The sequence below is a fragment of the Homo sapiens genome, chromosome 2 (assembly GCF_000001405.40).
Source record: "Homo sapiens chromosome 2, GRCh38.p14 Primary Assembly".
Classification (NCBI taxonomy): Eukaryota; Metazoa; Chordata; class Mammalia; order Primates; family Hominidae; genus Homo; species Homo sapiens.
This window is the reverse complement of record NC_000002.12, coordinates 31,113,928-31,132,009: the sequence shown is the minus strand read 5'-3', so window position 1 is coordinate 31,132,009 and position 18,082 is coordinate 31,113,928. Positions and strand designations below refer to the sequence as shown.

The window sequence follows — 18,082 nt, the reverse complement described above, 5'->3', positions numbered from 1 at the left end:
ATAGTTTTTGGAAAGAAATACCAGGAATTCCTCTCTCAAACTTCCCCAGAGGCACAGAATGATACCTACTCAAATCAGAGAAGACAGAGGGGCAAAGCAGGAAGGGAAGATCCATTAATGGCCCTGTCACAAGCCTCCCCAGTCTGTCCAGAGACTAACCTTTTTCAGGGCTGCCCATCTGGTTGTATCATTTAAAAGTGCTAATTTCCACTCATCAGAGGTCATTTATAAACTGAACAGGGACGGAATAAGGCTGCCGTGGGCTGACGCCTGAAGCCCAGGATTCCTGCACAGCTTGGTTTTCATGCCATCTGATTTTACCTCCTGTGCCTACATCCTACACCATGCCTCCCCATCCCAGCTTTCTGAAGTGGTCTTATTCATTGTCAGACACCCAGGAACCAGTTTTTGAAGACCTTCATTGCTTGAGCCCTTGTTTCATTTCTAATGTTTGCAGTTTTGTCACTCTTCTATAGCATCCCAAAGTCCCCAATGCATTTTTTGGAAAATAATCTGAATTAGAAAGCAGGGCCAGATCCCCAGCTCCTCTCCTGGGGGAGTCTGTGAACCCTGCCATGGCTTTTGAATATTCCACCCCAGAGACCTAGAATCGTAGACTCACCATCTGTTTGGGGAAGTGAGTCTGGACATGCCCGTGCCCTCTACCACTGGCTGCAGGCCCCTGCCACTTGCCTGTATTTATCCTGGGCTGGGTGTGAGCCTTTTTCCTCACAGGGTCCTCAGAGACTCATGCTGCACACAAGCGGCAGGAGATAGAGAGAGTCCCACCTTCTCTAGCTCCCATCATGTCAAGATCAAGTGTGTTTTACTCCCCGAGTTTCCTGATAGACATGGCAGCCAGTGTGGCCACTGGCAGTGCCAGGGGTGACTGAGATTCCTCTCTTCCTGGCTCAGTCTCCTTGACTGTGAAATGGGAGCAGCTCACTCTAGAACTGTCTGACCCCCACTTGCTTACCAGCAGTCTGAGTCTTTTCAGGTTAGTTATGAATAACTGTGAAGTGAGACCTTATGGCTATAAATAATTATACTACAGATACTCTGTGTCTATTACTTTTAATTATTTTACCAGAAATGCTAGATTAACCAAAAAATAAATCAGTCTCAGTCCTCAGATGTTGAGCTGATTAAGAAAGAACCCCTTTGGGATACCGAAGAACATGAACACACACATATACACACACAGGCACACACACAGGTGCGCGCGCACACACACACACACACACACACACACACACACACACACACACACACACAGAGGTACCCTGGGGAATTCTGCAGGAGCTCCTGCAATGTGCTGGCTCTGGTATTTTGGTTTTTCAGAATAAATGGCCTGATGTGACCTTCTGAGGTGACAGTCTTTGCATTTGGCAGTGGCTGCTGCCATCCCAGGGCCTAATGAGAGCTAGAGGCTGACAGAGGGATAGAGGAGGGGACATCTCTGTGGTGTGGGAGGTGTGTGCCACCTAGGGCATCCTCTTTCCTCCTGATGTTCTGTCCATGCTCCATCCTCCCCTTCACATTCTTCTTCTGTCCCCTGAAAAGCCAGCCTGGCTATACAGCCCCAGGGTCCTGGGACCAGGGCTCCAGTGGTGGCTGGCCCTCTGCCCTCTGCTCTGTAGAAGCCCAACACTTCCCTGCAGGCCCCAAGGTCAGGAGCAGCCACCTCTGAGAGCACCGCTCTGGACACAAAGCTAGTTCTTTCCTGAAGGAAGGAGGTTGCCACTCTGGCCTTTCTATCAGCAGGAGCCCTTATCGCTGGGAATACAGAGCCATCTGATCCCCTGCATCCTGGACAATGCTGGTTTCAAGTACAAAGCCTTTTCTGCGTGCCATTTCCTGGAGACAAGATGAGGCACTTAAAAAATAATTAAATTCTCCTTATGTCACTTGTCTTCTTAACTGTAAGCACTACAGAGATCTTTCAAGGAAATGCAGGAGAGCAGGGCACACTCACATGTCTCTGCCCTGGGATTTGAATGCCCAGATGAAGAGAACAACCACCCCGGCTGTCTTCTTCCTAATGATCCTGCTCTTGCAACCCGATCTGCATGCATGCTAGGCAAGGAGAGAGCCTGAAACATCTATAGAACTAGTAGGGCCACTCTCTCTTGACGAGCTCTCTCCAAAGAGGTTAACTGTCTCTTTTCTCTGTTTGCACTATGGTTTGGAAATAAGGATTTTCTTCCTTAGTTGTCTGGGCTGAAGATTTATGTAGCTTCTCTTATTCCTCAGAGAACAGTAATCATTGATGTCCCTCCCACCCCCCACCTCCCAGCCATAGAGACTGGTCCAATCAATATTTATGTGCCCATCTCTCGCAGCTGCAACATGCAGGCATAATAGATGCCAGATTCCTTGATGGCCACTGAAAAATTAGCTGGTGCCTGTATTTCAGGCTTATTGTTTCCTAGGATCTCAGGGAGATCAGGCCACGTGGTCTGTGGATTAATTAAGGCACCCAGATAATTGGCTATTAATAGATGGCCAATTGATGGCTGCCAGCTGGGTGCTGAATTGACTAATGTCCTTATGGTGGGCAGGTGGTCTTTATCAGAAGAGGAGCTAGCTGAAAGACTTTACTAATTAAAGGGTGAATCAGGAAAAGAAGATAAGAGGTAGCTTTTTTCCCCACCACTTGGTGTGATGTTTTACAGTTTACAAAGCATTTATATCCACAGTTGCCTCATTTGATCCTTACTGCGACTTTGTGAGGTGAGTGTTATTATTATTCTCGTTTTCTGAACTGTGATGAATCTGAGGTGATAGCAGGGTAGGGACTTGGGCAAGCTAGCCTAATCAGCAAGTGGGCTTCAACTCGCTCTTTTGACTGTCACGCATATGCTGTTTCTGTTAGAGCCACGCTCAACTTCAGGTGAGATTCCTTTGCCAGGGAAGATGAAATATATATGTGTATGTTATATGTTTGTTTTCATATGGACAAAAAGCTAGTGCACTTGCTGAGAAAAGATGCCCTCCCTCTGCTGAAACACCAGCATTGCTTTGTGTGTTTTTTTTTTTTTTCAATTTTATTTTTTAACTTACAGAAGGGAACTGGAAAAGGGATTAAGGGAAATACAGAGCTTGTCTCTGGAAGGCCACCAGAGGGTCTGGAGGACTTTGGGTTTTCTTCTAGGAAAGGCCAAGTTTAACCCATGCTTGGGCCAGTCAGGGCCAGTCCACGGGACCACTGCTTTCTGGAGTGGAAAGAGCTGGGACTGTAACGGCAGACTCGGTGGTGCAAGAAGTGGAGAGAGGCTCTCCGCCCTTCCCCCTCCCCACAAGTACCCCACATCAGGTTCTGACTCTGGCCTAGCCAGGAGCCCACGCTGCCCTGCTACTACCTCCCTCCTGGGCCTGCAGGGTTTGCTGGCAGGACAGGAGGCTGTGCTGTTCATTCCTAGGCTGCTCCAAGTTAGAAATCAGCAGGGTTGTGGAGTTAAGACACAAACTGTTTGAGTCCCTTTCTTGATGAATGTGGTCCTTAAACTATAGGAAGCAATTTCCTTCCAAGAGGAAAAATGTCATTTGAAAGAACCTAACACATCCTATTTGAAATGCAAGCAAGTGCCTGGGGAAATGACTCCAGGAAGTGACTTTAGAAGATATCCAACGTCACCTTAATGTAGAGGGTGCCCTGCCTGCATCTCTAATGCCGGGGTGTCCTGGCCATGCCTCTAATGTGGGGGCACCCTGCCATGTCTTGCTGGTTAGCCTTGAAAACTGATGGACAACTCCTCAGTTCTGTCTCGTTGGTGGCCTGCTGGTTCTACCCAGTACAGGGACCAGACTCTTTGTGGAGGATTTGGAGGTTGGGTTTGAGTTATGTAGGCTCTGCCCACATATGTGGTTAAACTTAGGAAAGCGTAAGATCAGGAGGCTGCTGATGTCTTCCTGGATATTTTGTCTGCAGTTCCAGTAAGCTCCTGGGCCCATGGTGGTGTTTTTGTGACATGGCCTAAACAATAAAGTTGGTACTCTGCTCTAAGATCCCAAGCAGAAACATGACTTTTTTACTCTTGTCCTTTTCCCCCGAGCATGGCAATGTTAAAGGACACTGCATTTTTAAAAACTATGTGTGGAATAAGAATGAAAAGAAATGTAAACCTAGATGACCCTGATATTTTCCCTCTCCACTTGGAAGCCCTGATGGTTTTCTAATCGTTTGCTCAGATCAACTCTCTATAATTCTCCCTGCCTGTCTTAAAACTGAAATTATGATTTCTGCTCCAGATTTTAGCTTTTCTCCTAAAATTGAGTGTATATTTTGGTAAACTTCTTGGCAGTGTCTACTAAAGCTAAACATATGTGTACATCTATGACCCTGCAATTCAACTCCTACATATAAACCCAACAGAAATGCTATGTATTTTAGGGAATGTCATGCACTTGAATTAGAGCAGGCAAACTTTTTCTGTCAAGGGCCAGTAAGTATTTTTGTTTTGTTTTGTTTTTAGGTTATATGGTCTCTGATGTGACTATTCAACTCTGCAGTTGTAGTTTGAAATACAATATGTAAATGAATTAGTGTCACTGTGTTCCAATAAAACTTTATTTATGGAAGCAGATATTTGAATTTCATATATTTTTCACATCGCATGAAGTATTCTTCTTTTGGTATTATTTTGAAAGATTTATAAATATAAAATCCTTTCTTAGTTTGTAGGATGTACTAGGACAGGTGGCAGGCCAGATTTGACCCGCAGGCTGTGTGATTGCATTTATATAAAGTACAAGAACAGGCGAAATTCATCTCTGGCATTGTAAGTCAGTTCATGGTTACCTGGGTTGGGGTAACTGACTGGATGGGGACAGGACATTTTGGGGCACTGGCACTGTTCAGTTTCTTGATTGGGGGGCTGGTTACACAGGTGCGTTCACCTTGTGAAATTCCTTGAGTACATGTTCTTTTCTCTTTGTGCATTCTACTTCAATAAAAAGTTGAAAAAGAAAGATCTGAACTGAGTGTGTGGCTCCTGACTCCAAGTTTTAGCACCTCATTTAGGGTCAGAGCCTAGCAGTTTCCATTCTTTATATAGCCACTGGTTTCTGTTTCCCAAATAAGTCTTTGGAAAAGGTCTTGGTTTGAAAGTTACCCACGTCTTACTCCCTTTTATAGACAGAGAGACATTTAGCAACTGCTATGGCACAAGCACCAGCTAACCAAAGTATGTGCTGGATCATAGGAAGATGATGGGTCGTAGAGTGGAGGGGCATGCAGGACAATGGGAACTGCGAGTAGGACTTTGGCTGGTATAGTAGCCCCATGGTACATCTGGGATGAAGTCTACCTAGAGTTATAGGTAAGAGGTGAAAGTGTGATTGCAGAGAATAGAATTATGTGATGTGAGTGAGCTACTGGCTTGTAGAACACTCGCTTCTTGTTTCTGCATCCAGAAGAACAGGCAGAGAACTAACAATCTGAGCCTGTAGTAAGTGTTGGGTGCTTTCTGAGTTAGTCATCTATTCTTTTTAACAACACTGCACGGCCGGCATTCTTAGGTTGGTTTTTCATGTGACGAACACCAAGGCTTAAGGAAGCTTGGTGACATATCCAAGATCATGCTGTTTATAAGTAAGCCAGGGATCTAGATTCCAAACCAGGTCTGTCTGCCTCCAGAGCACCCACCCTCTTTCAACTTCCATATGCTCACCCCAAGCTTCCTTCCCTCCCCTCACAGCCACGTTGAGTCTGTGAAAGGGAGGACTTGAATGTATTTTTCCCTTTGCAACTTGCCTTTAGAACCTGGGTTCACTGTGCTTCCCAGAGTGAACAGTTTAGATCAGAAATTGTTGGATGAAATAGTCTTACATCAGAAGCTATCTCTTTCAGGATGAGTCATTTTAAAACAATGTTTAAAGAGAAAACTTTACAATATTTTCAGAGAAATATTTTGTGCTTTCACCGCTATCTGACATCCCCTTATGAATGCTGTCCTGCCACAGATGACTGGGAATGTGTCTGGTCCTAGGGTTAAACTTTAAAAAAGGAAGTCTCCAAAGTATCACATTTTTGAGAGTGTTAAGGTGCTTTAGGAATACCTGAAGACTGATTAAAGAGAGGACACTGAGGAATTAACCAACAGATGCTGAAAATACAAAGGCCATCATGAATGGCTAAAAACTGCAGCATCACCCCTCAGAGAGGAATCGTCCTGTATTTAGCATAACACCACATTATTTGGTTGTTTGTGCTGAGGAGTTGAAAGCTATCATGTGCCAGGAAAATACTCAGCATGGAGCAGTAATTATGGATCAGCTGATAATAAAGGATGTATTGGATTGACTGCTAATTAGATTATTAGCTGCAAAAACAAATACCTGCTATTAACCATAAATAAGCTGCACTTATGATATTTTCTACGTTTTACACTTAGTCCTTTTTATAATGTGCATTTCTTTTCTTTCTGTGCCAAGACTTCCCATTTTCCCCAGTCATACTGAGCATATTTGTGGGTCAATAAACATTGAGCCACAATTAAAGTGTTCTTTTTTCCTTCCATTCTCCTGAAGAATGGGGGGTGAGAAAGCTGATATGCATTGAGCGCCACGTGTAAGGTCCTTGGTGAAGTGTAGTCTGTTTTCTCAGGGAAGAAATAAGGGCTCTTTCAAGGCTGGATCCAGATCTTTCCTATGGGCACAGAGTCTTTGTGAGGGGTAAGATCTCTGTGAAATCAATGCTGCTATTAATTGCCAAAGAAATGACCATGTTGCTCTTCTTTCTTGTGGCATTTTCAGGTTTGGTCCTTGTTTTTCAAGGTGGCTGGGATGAGCCCTTGGGCGCCTCAGGTGCCTGTATCACCCACTCCTCCCTACCAAAGAGGGCATCTTCCTACAGGTAGGTTGACTGTGTGTCCCCAGGAGTGTGAGGTGCCAGCTGCTTTTCTGCCCAAGCAGGCCCTGGGTACTGTGGGTAGGATGATCTGCCAGAGCTCCTGGGCGCACCCCAGGATGTCTGGAGAGAGAAGTTGCATCCAGCAGGAGGCTCTGGCCATGCTCTGAATAAGTGGCGCAAGTGACTGTCAAGTGTCCTGCATTCAGTGCTAGTAGAAGACCTGGTTTGTGGCCTCCGTTATTGGCCAGGAGTCCACGTAGAAAGAAGAGGCTTCCAGGGGAGAGGTGAATGTGAGTGCCTTTTAGGAGAAATGCTGGGTGCTTTATCTGTATCAGTTATTCATTCCTCACAACCACCCCACAAGGTGGGCAGGCTGAGATTCAGCGACTGCTACCAGTACAGTCATACTGGTTATTTAAGGTTGGTGCCTTTCTCTTTAAACAGTGCCTGGGAGGTTGCAGTGAGCCGAGATTGCACCACTGCACTCCATCCTGGGCAATAGAGGGAGACCCTGTTTCAAAAACAAACAAACAAAAACAAAAAAACAGTGCCTGAACCATGCTAATTGTTAACATTTTCTCTTTGCAATATTATCTCTGGAGGGTGTATCGATTACCTTTATTTTTACCAGTGAGGGAGTTGAGGTTCCTAAAGGTCCAATATCTTGCCCAACACAACAAGGGTGACATGATCAGGGGAGGAAATCCAACCTTACAGAACAACGCCTGGTAAATTTAAATGCAATTGTCAAACGTTTATCCCCATGTATCCCTGTAAAGATTCTCTTCTTCCCCTCAGCCTCACTTTCCACTTTGACTCAAAAGAGAAAAGACAGCTATCCATTTTGCATTTCCTCCCACCATGAATAATTGGTGGAACTAAGACCGGACGTAGGATGCTAGAGCCCTGGCAGGAGTGCCACTGGGGCAGTTGGCAAGCAGGAAAGATGGGTGAACTCCTTGGAGGTTTCCCCCTTTGAGTGCCTGTCAAGCATGGGGAGACAGAGCGGGCAAAATCACCTGCCCCAGGTCACTGGATCAAGTTTGTCCGAACATCCGGCAAACCCATATGGGGTGCTGCTGTGTGGGAAGCCCTGTGTAGGAAGCGGGGGTGAATTCTGAGGGAGTGTGGAGTGTGTAGCAGTGGCTCTCTGCTGGCCCCTCCCTCACCACTTCTGATTCCCGAACACTGTGTTCCTCTTAGATGTATTGCTGTATTACTGGAAAGATACAACTGTGTCTCTGGGGATGCTGTTTAATGGTGGAAGGAACTGCAAAATGGATAGCTGTCTTTTCTCTTTTGAGTCAAAGTGGAATGTGAGGCCAAGGGGAAGAAGAGAATCTTTGCCGGGGTACATGGGGATACAAGTTTGAGACAATTGCTTTTAAATTTACCAGGCGTTGTTCTGCATGGTTGAATTTCCTGTCCTGATCATGTCACTCTTCCGTTAGCTCAGAAAACTGTGGTTGAAGTTTAATCTCATCCTTAAAGCTGTTTCACTAAAATAGGAAACTGTTATTCCACAGGGCTGCTTATTAGAAGAAGAAGGATTTAGGGAGGTCTTTTAAAGTCATTTTAGTGATTTTTTTGAAAGAAGCATTTGCCGCAATCCACTTGTCCCCAAAGCATCTGCTGTTTCAAAGCATAACACTAGTGGAAGCATAACAGGAAGGGAAAGCCAGCATCAGGATAGGGAATAGGCTGAGCAACCCACTTTTATTTAGTCAGTTGAGGACACCTGTCGTGGGTTCTATACGTTTTGGGCACCATGGACCAGGTAGCCTATGGATCAACTGCAACCCCTACTTTCTCCACTGTTTTTGTATGGCCTGTGAGCTAAGAATGGTTTTTATAGTTTTAAATGATCAGAGAAAAACTCCAAGGAAAAATAATATTTCATGACACATGAAAATTATTAATACATGAAATTCAGACTCCATGGTCCATCAATAAAGTTTTTTTTTTTTTTTTTTTTGAGATGGAGTCTCGCTCTGTTGCCCAGGCTGGAGTGCAGTGGTGCCACCTCGGCTCACTGCAAGCTCCGCCTCCTGAGTTCATGCCGTCCTCCTACCTCAGCCTCCCGAGTAGCTGGGACTACAGGTGCCCGTCACCCCGCCCGGCTAATTTTTTGTATTTTTTAGTAGAGACAGGGTTTCACTGTGTTAGCCAGGATGGTCTTGATCTCCTGACCTCGTGATCCGCCCGCCTCGGCCTCCCAAAGTGCTGGGATTACAGGCGTAAGCCACAGCACCCGGCCCAATAAAGTTTTATTGGAGCCGAATTCCTTTACGAATTGTCTATGGTTGCTTTTAGGCTACAATGGCCAAGTTGAATAGTTGTGATGGAGACTGTGTGACCCACAAAACTTAGATCTTTACAATAAAAATAGAAAATAATTTGTATATTTTTATAGAAAACAAAAATTTATAGAAAATGTTTATAGAAACATTTATAGAAAATGTATAGAAAAAATTTATAGAAAACACCCCTGATGTTTTGTTTCTCAGTGTGGCTCATGGGCCAGAAGGGTTAGTGTCTCTTATAATTCATTAGAAATGCAGAATCTCAGACCATTTCAGACCTACTGATTCAAAGTCTGCATTTAGTAAGATCCCCAGGTGATCTGTGTGCAATCAAAGTTTGAGAAGCCCTGCATTAGATGATGTGCTTGCTCACGAAAAGCCTGTGTGAATCATACTCCACAAGACCAGCTCTACATTCAGTGCCACTTGTCTTTATTTTCTTGGAGTTAAATGCGATTCCAAGCTCCCATTCCCCCATGTGGGGATGGGGATTCCTCTACTCACGGCTTCACAGCGATTCTGGAGGCTTCCTCCATGCCAGGTAATGTGGGAAGAGCTTGTAGTCTTCCAGGTATCACCATCACGGCTGTTTCATCATTGACTGTGCCCTTCACGTTCTGCTTATCCCGGGCTAGTGGCTTCCCTGTGGTACCCGGAGCCCCCTGTGTCCAGTGGCCGGCCTTCCTAGGGGCATCACACAGCCATTTTAATTGGGCTCTGCTACCTTCTGGGACACCCACCACTCTCAGGACTGGCTGTATCCCATTCTCCTTCCAAGCTGGAGGAATTCCCTCTCTCTCTAGTCCTCAAAGGCATTGCCCTTTTTTTCACCCTCTGGGCTATTTATTCCTTCAAATAACACTGGCTTTTGTAAATGATAGAAGATGGCCTATTTCCTGGTATCTCTGCTTTAGGCTTAGGAATACCATCTTCCTGGAAGCCAGGAAGCATTTGGATCTTGGTTATCTGCTGAGGTCAGGGGTTGGGGCAGGGCAGAGGTGGGAGTGGGAGGTAGATGGAAGTGAGAACAAATGCAAACAAATATCCCATTATCCTAGCACCTCTACGCCATGTTATGATGCAGTTGAGGGGACATGACTAACACCATCTAGGACAGTACTGAATCTAGGAGATCTTCCTGTAGAACAGGAGGCAGGTTCTGTGGGAGCTTAGAGAAAGGGAGATTATTGGGCGGCAGTGGGCAGCGAGGTCTTCCTAAGGTGGCAGGACTCAGCATGAGTGACTAGAGATGAATAGAAACCAGGAGTGGGCCAGACTGCGGAAAAGTTAAAAAATAAAGCCGTTTGCTTATTTTTGTTCTAAAACCAGAGTGTGTCAGATTTCCCCAGTTGGGAATATTATACTCCACTCACTGGGGACTTTGTTCAGTAAATGTTTTGGGTTTAAGGGTTTTATTGTCTATAGTATGTCCATTGCTCTTAAAGGGGCAATTCAGTGAAATTTGAACTTGGCATTCCCTTTCTCTTACCCTTCTGGCCTAAATGAGCGTTGCTGTGTATGTTCTGTATTCCTCACCAGGCTTGATTCTGGCTTTTCTCGACCACCTGTTTTCAATTTTAATTTGTGTAGCTGCTCTTAGAGAAATTACCTGTGGGGAAGTCATCTTGCCTGTCTAGATTCCTTACAGATGAAGCCTTGGCAGGGCCATGGCCAAAGTCACTTAGAATGCCCTTGGACAGGCATGCTGGGCTCCCGAGTTCAGAAGGTCTGAGTCCATGCACATTGGTTGGAGAAAGTGAACTGTGAAGACATCCCTGCTGATGTGACCAGGGCCTGGAAGAATTCTTTCTTGTGTACACCAAGCACAGAGGCTGGCAGATTTGCAGATGTTATTTGAGATGTGTGCTGATCCACTGCACCTCTTTCCAAATTGCTGTCTTAGGAAACTAAACCAGGAATGGTCCTAACACAGTGGACATGGAAATATACTCATTATGCACCAAGTTTAAAACAAAGAGGATTCAAAATTGTGTCCATGGCTGGGCGTGGTGGCTCACGCCTGTAATCCCAGCACTTTGGGGGCCGAGGCCAGTGGGTCACCAGAGGTCAGGAGTTTGAGACCAGCCTGGCCAACATAGTGAAACCCTGTCTCTACTAAAAATACGAAAATTAGCTGGGCGTGGTCACACACATCTGTAGTCCTAGCTACTCAGGAGGCTGAGGCAGGAGAATCACTTGAGCCCAGGAGGCAGAGGTTGCAGTGAGCCAAGATCGTGGCACTGCACTCCAGCCTGGGCGACAGAGTGAGACTCTGTCTAAAAAAAAAATGTGTTCATGGTAGGATACTAATTTGTTTAAAACAAGATATATACGTTGAAAAAAGTTGTAGAGAGAAAATCAAAATGGATGATTTACGTAAATGGGCTATTGTCTGTGTGATATTTCTCACTGCAACTTATTTATCTATCTTTTCACTCACCACCCTCTGCTTCACCCCCTTTGAGATAAGCAACATAAGAATCTGGATATGTGAACTTCAATAGCTTTCTCTCTGCATTGTGTAACCAGTTTGTAAACATGTATAAACATTTACAGATCTGTTTTGGTTGTTATTAAAAAGGAGAGTGAGAGATTGATCACATTATATATACTTTGCATCTTCTCTTTACTTAAGTATATATTCTAGAAATCCTACTGGTCAGCTAGCTCATTATTTTTTTTTTTTTTTTTTTTTTTTGAGACGGAGTCTCGCTCTGTCGCCCAGGCTGGAGTGCAGTGGCGCGATCTCGGCTCACTGCAAGCTCCGCCTCCCGGGTTCACGCCATTCTCCTGCCTCAGCCTCCCGAGTAGCTGGGACTACAGGCGCCCGCTACCACGCCCGGCTAATTTTTTGTATTTTTAGTAGAGACGGGGTTTCACCTTGTTAGCCAGGATGGTCTCGATCTCCTGACCTCGTGATCCGCCCGCCTCGGCCTCCCAAAGTGCTGGGATTACAGGCGTGAGCCACCGCGCCCGGCCTAGCTCATTATTTTTAATGACTGCATAATATTCTGCAGTGTGGATGTAACTTATTTTATTCAGCTATTTCCATTTGATGGGTATACACTTTATCTCTCATCTCTTGTTGCTACAGACAGAGCTGAAATAATCTATGTACACATATTCTTACATGTTAGAGCTTTTGCTTCTGAAGTATAACTTTTGAGGAGTGGGAATTCTGAGTCAAAAGGAGTCTGTAATTTTTATATTATGTATATTTTAAGATTGCTTTGTAAAACAATCTACATTTTCGTTAGCAAAGTACGAGAGTACTCTTTCCCCAGCATCCTCTTTGGTATAAATGTCGTCATTTTCGTTTTGCCAACCTAAAGAGTATGAAACGGGATCCAATTGTAATTTTATATTCCTCTGATTACCAGAGAGGTTGAGTATGTTCTCATATGTTTATTGCATGTAAGGATCTTGCCCTTCTATGAGGGGTCTATTCATATCCTCTCCCTATTTTTCTACTGTACGGTTTATCTTTTTGTTGCCAAGTAAAAGAGCTCTTTGCATGTTATTGATAGTTCTTTATTAGTCATATATGTTGCAGATTTTTTTCTGATTAATTTGTTAATACTGTTGACTTTATGGTATATATTGCCATATAACTTTTTGGCTTTGAAAAATACAGTCGAATATGTCTTTTCAAAAAATAGCTCATGAATGCCCTGTCTTGATTAAAAAGATCATCGTAAGTCCTAGATTGTACATAGAATATCCCAAATTTCCACTTTTATATGATTTTTTTTTCTTAAACTTTTAAATCTTAGGTCCATCTGGGATTTATTTTTATGTCAGGTTTGAGGTAGGGATTCAACTGTATTTTCTTCCAAAATGAATAGTCATTTGTGTCAACATCATTAATTAAATAAGCCATCACTTCCCCCACTAATTAAAAGACCACTTTGTCATATAATTTCCCATAAATATTGGGTTCTAGTTCTGGGAACTCCATTTTCCATGGACCTCTTTGTCTTTTACTATGGCAATGTCATACTTTTTACCAGAATTTTCTTATTAAATCCAGTAGCTACTTCTCAATTAGTCTATTGAATTTCCTAAGTATAAAAATCACATCATTATCAAAATAAGTAAAATTTGTCTCTCCTTTTTGAGATTTATCTTGACTATTTTATTGTCTTATTTTGTTGCATTCATGAGAACTTTCAAAATTAAATGCCGTGGCAGTATAAGGACTCTCTTGATTTTGATGCAAATGGCTTTAGTGTTCATTATTTACTGCTCACCTTTATTAGATATTCTATATCACATTTTAACTTTTGTTTTATTCTTGATTTACTTTGAGTTTTTATTAGTTTTTTTGGATTTTTATCTTTTGATTGAATCATATTTCTCTTTTATTGATGCAGTGATTTATTTTGATTTTCTTGTTTTGAATCATCCTTGCATTCCTGGAATGAACTCTATTTAGTTACAGTTTATTTTTATTTATGCTACTGGCTTGTATTTGTTGACATTTATTTGGAATTTTAACATCTATTTTCATAAGTTGGATTTGTTTATAGTTTTTTTTGGTACTTTGGTTTTAGATTTAGGTGTGTATTGCTTTGATAAAATGAATTAGGGAAGTTTTTTAGCAGATGAGAATAGTTTAAATAACTTTCGCCGATTTATTCTTTAATGATCATATAAAACTCAGCTGTGAAATTATCTAGTTCTATTGACTTCTTCAATGGTAGCCCTTTAGTCACCTTCTCTATCTCTGCCATGATACGTCTAATTACTCACCAAATTCTGATGTCTCGTTGTTTGGGCACACAGCAAGATTGCATTTCACATTCTCCCTTGCTTTAAGTAGCATGTAACTAACTTGGGTCCAATAAAATGGAGTAGAAATGATGGGTTCTATTTATAGGCCACACTATAAAACCTCCCATGCACGATCTGCCATATTCTTCTCCTTCTGCCAGATAATGTGGGTGACAAGACTCTAGGGATGGCAGGGCCACATGATGTAAGATGTTTTGGTCTCTAAATAACTGAATGGAAGAAAGCTTCCCTATTGTCCAGAACACCTACCCAAGACTACTGTGTAAGCAGGAACTTCTGCTTGTTAGCATAGCCTATCTTCCACTATTGCATATGGTAACAGGTCTTTTCACGTTTTCTACTACTTCTTTGGTCAGTTTGGGTAGTATCCATTTTGTTAGTAAATTAACCCATGTCTTTTAGGTTTTAAAATTTTACCAAAGTTGCACATAGTAGTGTCTTCTAATTCTGTGTTCTACACCTATGGTCATATCTCCATTCACGTTTCCAATCATACATATTTTATCCTTTCTTAAACCTACTCCATCTTATAGATGTTTTCAAAGAGCCAGTTTTTGCATTTATGTACCTTCCTATTACATTTCATTTGTAGTCATTAATTTTAACTTTTCTTGCTAGTAATGCTCTCTATTTTTGAATATTCCTGTTTTAGAAATAATTAGGGCATATAGGGTTGTACATTTCTTTTGCATGCAGCCAGCCTTTGCTGTGTCCCATACATTTTGACTGGCTTCCTCTTCAGTTCTTACTAGACTATTTATATTTTTAATTTTGATTTTCTATTTGTCTGAAGAGCTACTCAGGTAGGAGCATGTTTCTCAATTTCAAAATCCTTAGGATTTTTGATACTTTTAATTTTGGATTGTATTGAATTATGAGATGAGAATGTGGCCTATCAAATCTCTACTTTTCAAAATTTTTAAGTTTTTATTAATGGCCAATTACATAATCAATATTTAAAGTGTCTTTTGGACATATGAAAGAAAGCCCCTGAATATTCTTTTTTTTAATTTTTTTTTTCTGAGATAGAGTTTCGCTCTTGTTGCCCAGGCTGGAGTGCAATGGCGTGATCTCAGCTCTCTGTAACCTCTGCCTCTTGGGTTCAAGTGATTCTTCTGCCTCAGCCTCCCAGGTAGCTGGGATTACAGGCATGCGCCCCACACCTGGCTAATTTTGTATTTTTAGTAGAGATGAGGTTTCTCCATGTTGGTGAGGCTGGTCACCTGACCTCAGGTGATCTGCCTGCCTCGGCCTCCCAAAGTGCTGGAATTATAGGTGTGAGCTACCACGCCTGGCCAAATATTCTTTATTTGATGGTTATATAGTTCTCTCTATATATATGTATTAGATAAATATTCTTGATTCAACTTATCCTTGTCTTTCTTGGTTTATGTCATTTTTTGAGCTACTGGATCTGTTCAATCCTGAAATCATACACTATAATTTTATTTTAATCAAAATCTCCTACTATCAAGAGTTTTGGCTTTATAATATTTTAGTGCTATTTTGTTTTGTTCTTAGTGATTTATATTTTAATAAATTGTGCCTTAACATTCACCTTATCTGGTGTTAATATCGTCTGTCCTGCTTTGTTTTCATTTGCATTTGACCATCTATTTTTAATTTTTCTTTATGGCATAAAATGTTTCTTATAAATTACGTATAACTCTCTGTTGACCTGAATACATATTTTTATTTTTCAATACAATCTGATAATGTTTGTATTTTAATAAGAATGTTCAGCTTATAAAAATTAGTGAAATAGTAGATATAATTGAATATATACTATTTATTTTATTTTTATCTTTCTCCATTTTATTACTTTTGCTGGTTTGGCCAATTACTACTTCAATTTCTCTTTCCCTTTTTAATTTGGACATCTTACTATACCATCTATGCTGACTGTTATCTTTCTTTCCAGGACATTCGAAGGCATATTTCTATGCAATCAAGATATCAATGATGATTTTACATGCCCCTCCTTCTGCCAGGATGTTTTACTCACCCATTCATTATCATCCTAATAAATATATTTTGGAGACAGGATCTGTCTCTCTGTCACCCAGGGTAGAGTGCAGTGGTGCAGTCATAGCTCACTGTAGCTTCAAACTCCTGGGCCCAAAAGATCCTCCTGCTTCAGTTTCTCAAGTAGCTAGGACTAAGTTGTGCACCACCATGCTCAGCTAATTAATTTTTTTTATTTTAAAAATAGGGTCTTGCTATGTTGCCCAGGCTCACCTAGAGTGATCCTCCTGCCTCACAGGCGTGAGCCACTGTGCCTGGCAGCAGCCTAGTAAATTGAGCCTTTTATGAGTACTTTTTCTTCCTTACACTTGCATACCCTGTGGGCAGATGGGCCTTTAGAAGACTTTTATTCACCCTACCTTCCACTACCCCTAATTACTGGGCTTTGCTGAGATAATTTAACACTTCTAGAACTAAATGTTCAGATTTTCTTTGCAGAATCCCTCCTCTTTTTCAGGTATTCTTATTTGTCACTTCCATTACCTGTTTCCAGTCACTTTAATATTACCTAATTAGATTTAACTGTGCAGATTGCAAGGTTCATCACACCTCTGTTTTCTCTTCTTTTCATCTCACCCATCTTGAGATTTTTGTTTGAGTTCATTTATTTTTTGATCAGAATATCTTCTTGAGACAGGGTATGTGGGTTATGTTTTCTATGAACTCTTGTATCCGCAAATATTCTACAAATTAGACAGGTGGATAACATCTGCCTCGGACACTTGGCAATGTATGGATGGTTTTGTGGTTCGTTTGGGATTATTTTTTTTTTTGTAATTTTTTTGAAACAGGGTCTTGCTCTGTCACCCAGTCTGGAGTATAATGGCATGGTGATAGCTCGTTGCAACCTCAACCTCCTGGGCTCAAGTGATCTTTCCTGCCTCAACCTCCCAAGTAGTTAGGACTACAGACATGTGGCACTCTGCCTGGCTAATTTTATTTATTTATTTAGTAGAGATGGGGTCTTGCTAGGTTGCCCAGGCTGGTCTTGAACTCCTGGGCTCAAGTGGTCCTCCTGCCTCGGCCTCCTAAAGTGTTGGGATTACAGGCATGAGCCACTGTGCCTGGCCTGGATGGTTTTCCATTGTCTTCTGGATTCCAGTTTTGCAGATGGTGTATGACTGAAGTCATAATACTTTTTCTTTGTTAGTTACCTGTTCTCTCTGTTTGGAGCTCATGACATTTTCTCCTTATCTTTGGGACTTAGGAGGACACCTTGCTGTATGTCATTTCCCATGTCTCTTGCAAGAAGCTCAGTTCCATTTGCAGACTCAGGTCTTTCTTCAAGTCAGGTAAATTCTTTACTTCCATTTGTTAAATTCTTGTCTCTTTTGTATTTGTTCCTTTTTCCCCTTCTGGGATTATTGTTATTCACAAGCTGGGTTTTTAGAGTCTGTTCTCGAAATTTCTTTTTGCCCCTGATTTTTATTTCTTTGTATTTTTGCTCTTGTGTGTGCGTGTGTGTATTTTTCTACTTGATCTTCTAAGCCGCTAATTTAGGTCTCTACAGCAACCATCCTTTTCATCAACTACTCTGCTGAGCTTTTTAGTTTGAAAAATCATGATTTTTATTCCCAGAAAGTCTTTCTTGTTCATGTGCTGTAATTGAATACCGTTAAGTGCTATTATTATTTTTTGTTTGAGTTGCCCTTTGTCTCCTTTAGCAGCTCTGTTTCATCAACAGCTTCTCCTTCTAAGTGTTTTGTTTGCTCATGTCTCCAGCTTCTGGTCCTCTTTGTGGGTGGCTTTTTTTTTTTTTCCCACTTGTTGCAGCTTAGGACCAGCTGCCTTCAGGCAAAGTCAGCAGAGAATGGTGATGTGTGTAAGAAGTAAAGAAAGAGGAAAGAAACACGAAAGGTGGCTCGTCAGTTAAGACAGGTTTATTTTAGAGAAAACAAACCTGAGAAGAGCTTCTGGTGCAGTTAGGTCAGAGGCACATTCTTTTACAGACTAAGAGTTTTTAAGGATTCAGGGTGGGGGAGTTTATTAGAGGCTTAGGCTGCTTTTGTGTCTCTTTGTTGTGCTTATCTGGGAGGGAGAGTTGTGTGTCTGTTCCCATACATTGTTCTGCAGCTGCAGGCATATCCCCACTGCTTTTAGCTTCCCT

The 18,082-nt window shown here is 42.1% G+C and overlaps 1 protein-coding gene across 9 annotated transcripts in view, besides 1 other annotated feature; it reads left to right on the top strand.

Moving 5' to 3' along the window:
* The window catches only part of GALNT14 (polypeptide N-acetylgalactosaminyltransferase 14), a 251,659-nt gene that overhangs the window by 6,431 nt on the left and 227,146 nt on the right, over positions 1–18,082 (top strand). For 3 of the 9 annotated variants that reach the window (NM_001253826.2, NM_001329096.2, XM_047445827.1), the window contains exons 2-3: positions 6,757–6,856; positions 17,183–17,267. The exons of 5 other annotated variants lie outside the window; for them this stretch is intronic. In NM_001253826.2, the coding sequence (NP_001240755.1) occupies positions 6,757–6,856; positions 17,183–17,267 (185 nt within the window). Of the gene's footprint in view, positions 1–2,369; positions 2,734–6,756; positions 6,857–17,182; positions 17,268–18,082 lie in introns of those variants that run through there. One more of the 9 variants, NM_001253827.2, reaches the window with a different exon arrangement.
* Positions 1,598–2,099: an enhancer, noted in NCBI's record as "H3K4me1 hESC enhancer chr2:31352777-31353278 (GRCh37/hg19 assembly coordinates)". NCBI's record gives its function as "activates a minimal SCP1, AML or CMV promoter by ChIP-STARR-seq in naive H9 embryonic stem cells {active_cell/tissue: H9 hESC(naive)}" and the evidence as "EXISTENCE:reporter gene assay evidence [ECO:0000049][PMID:30033119]".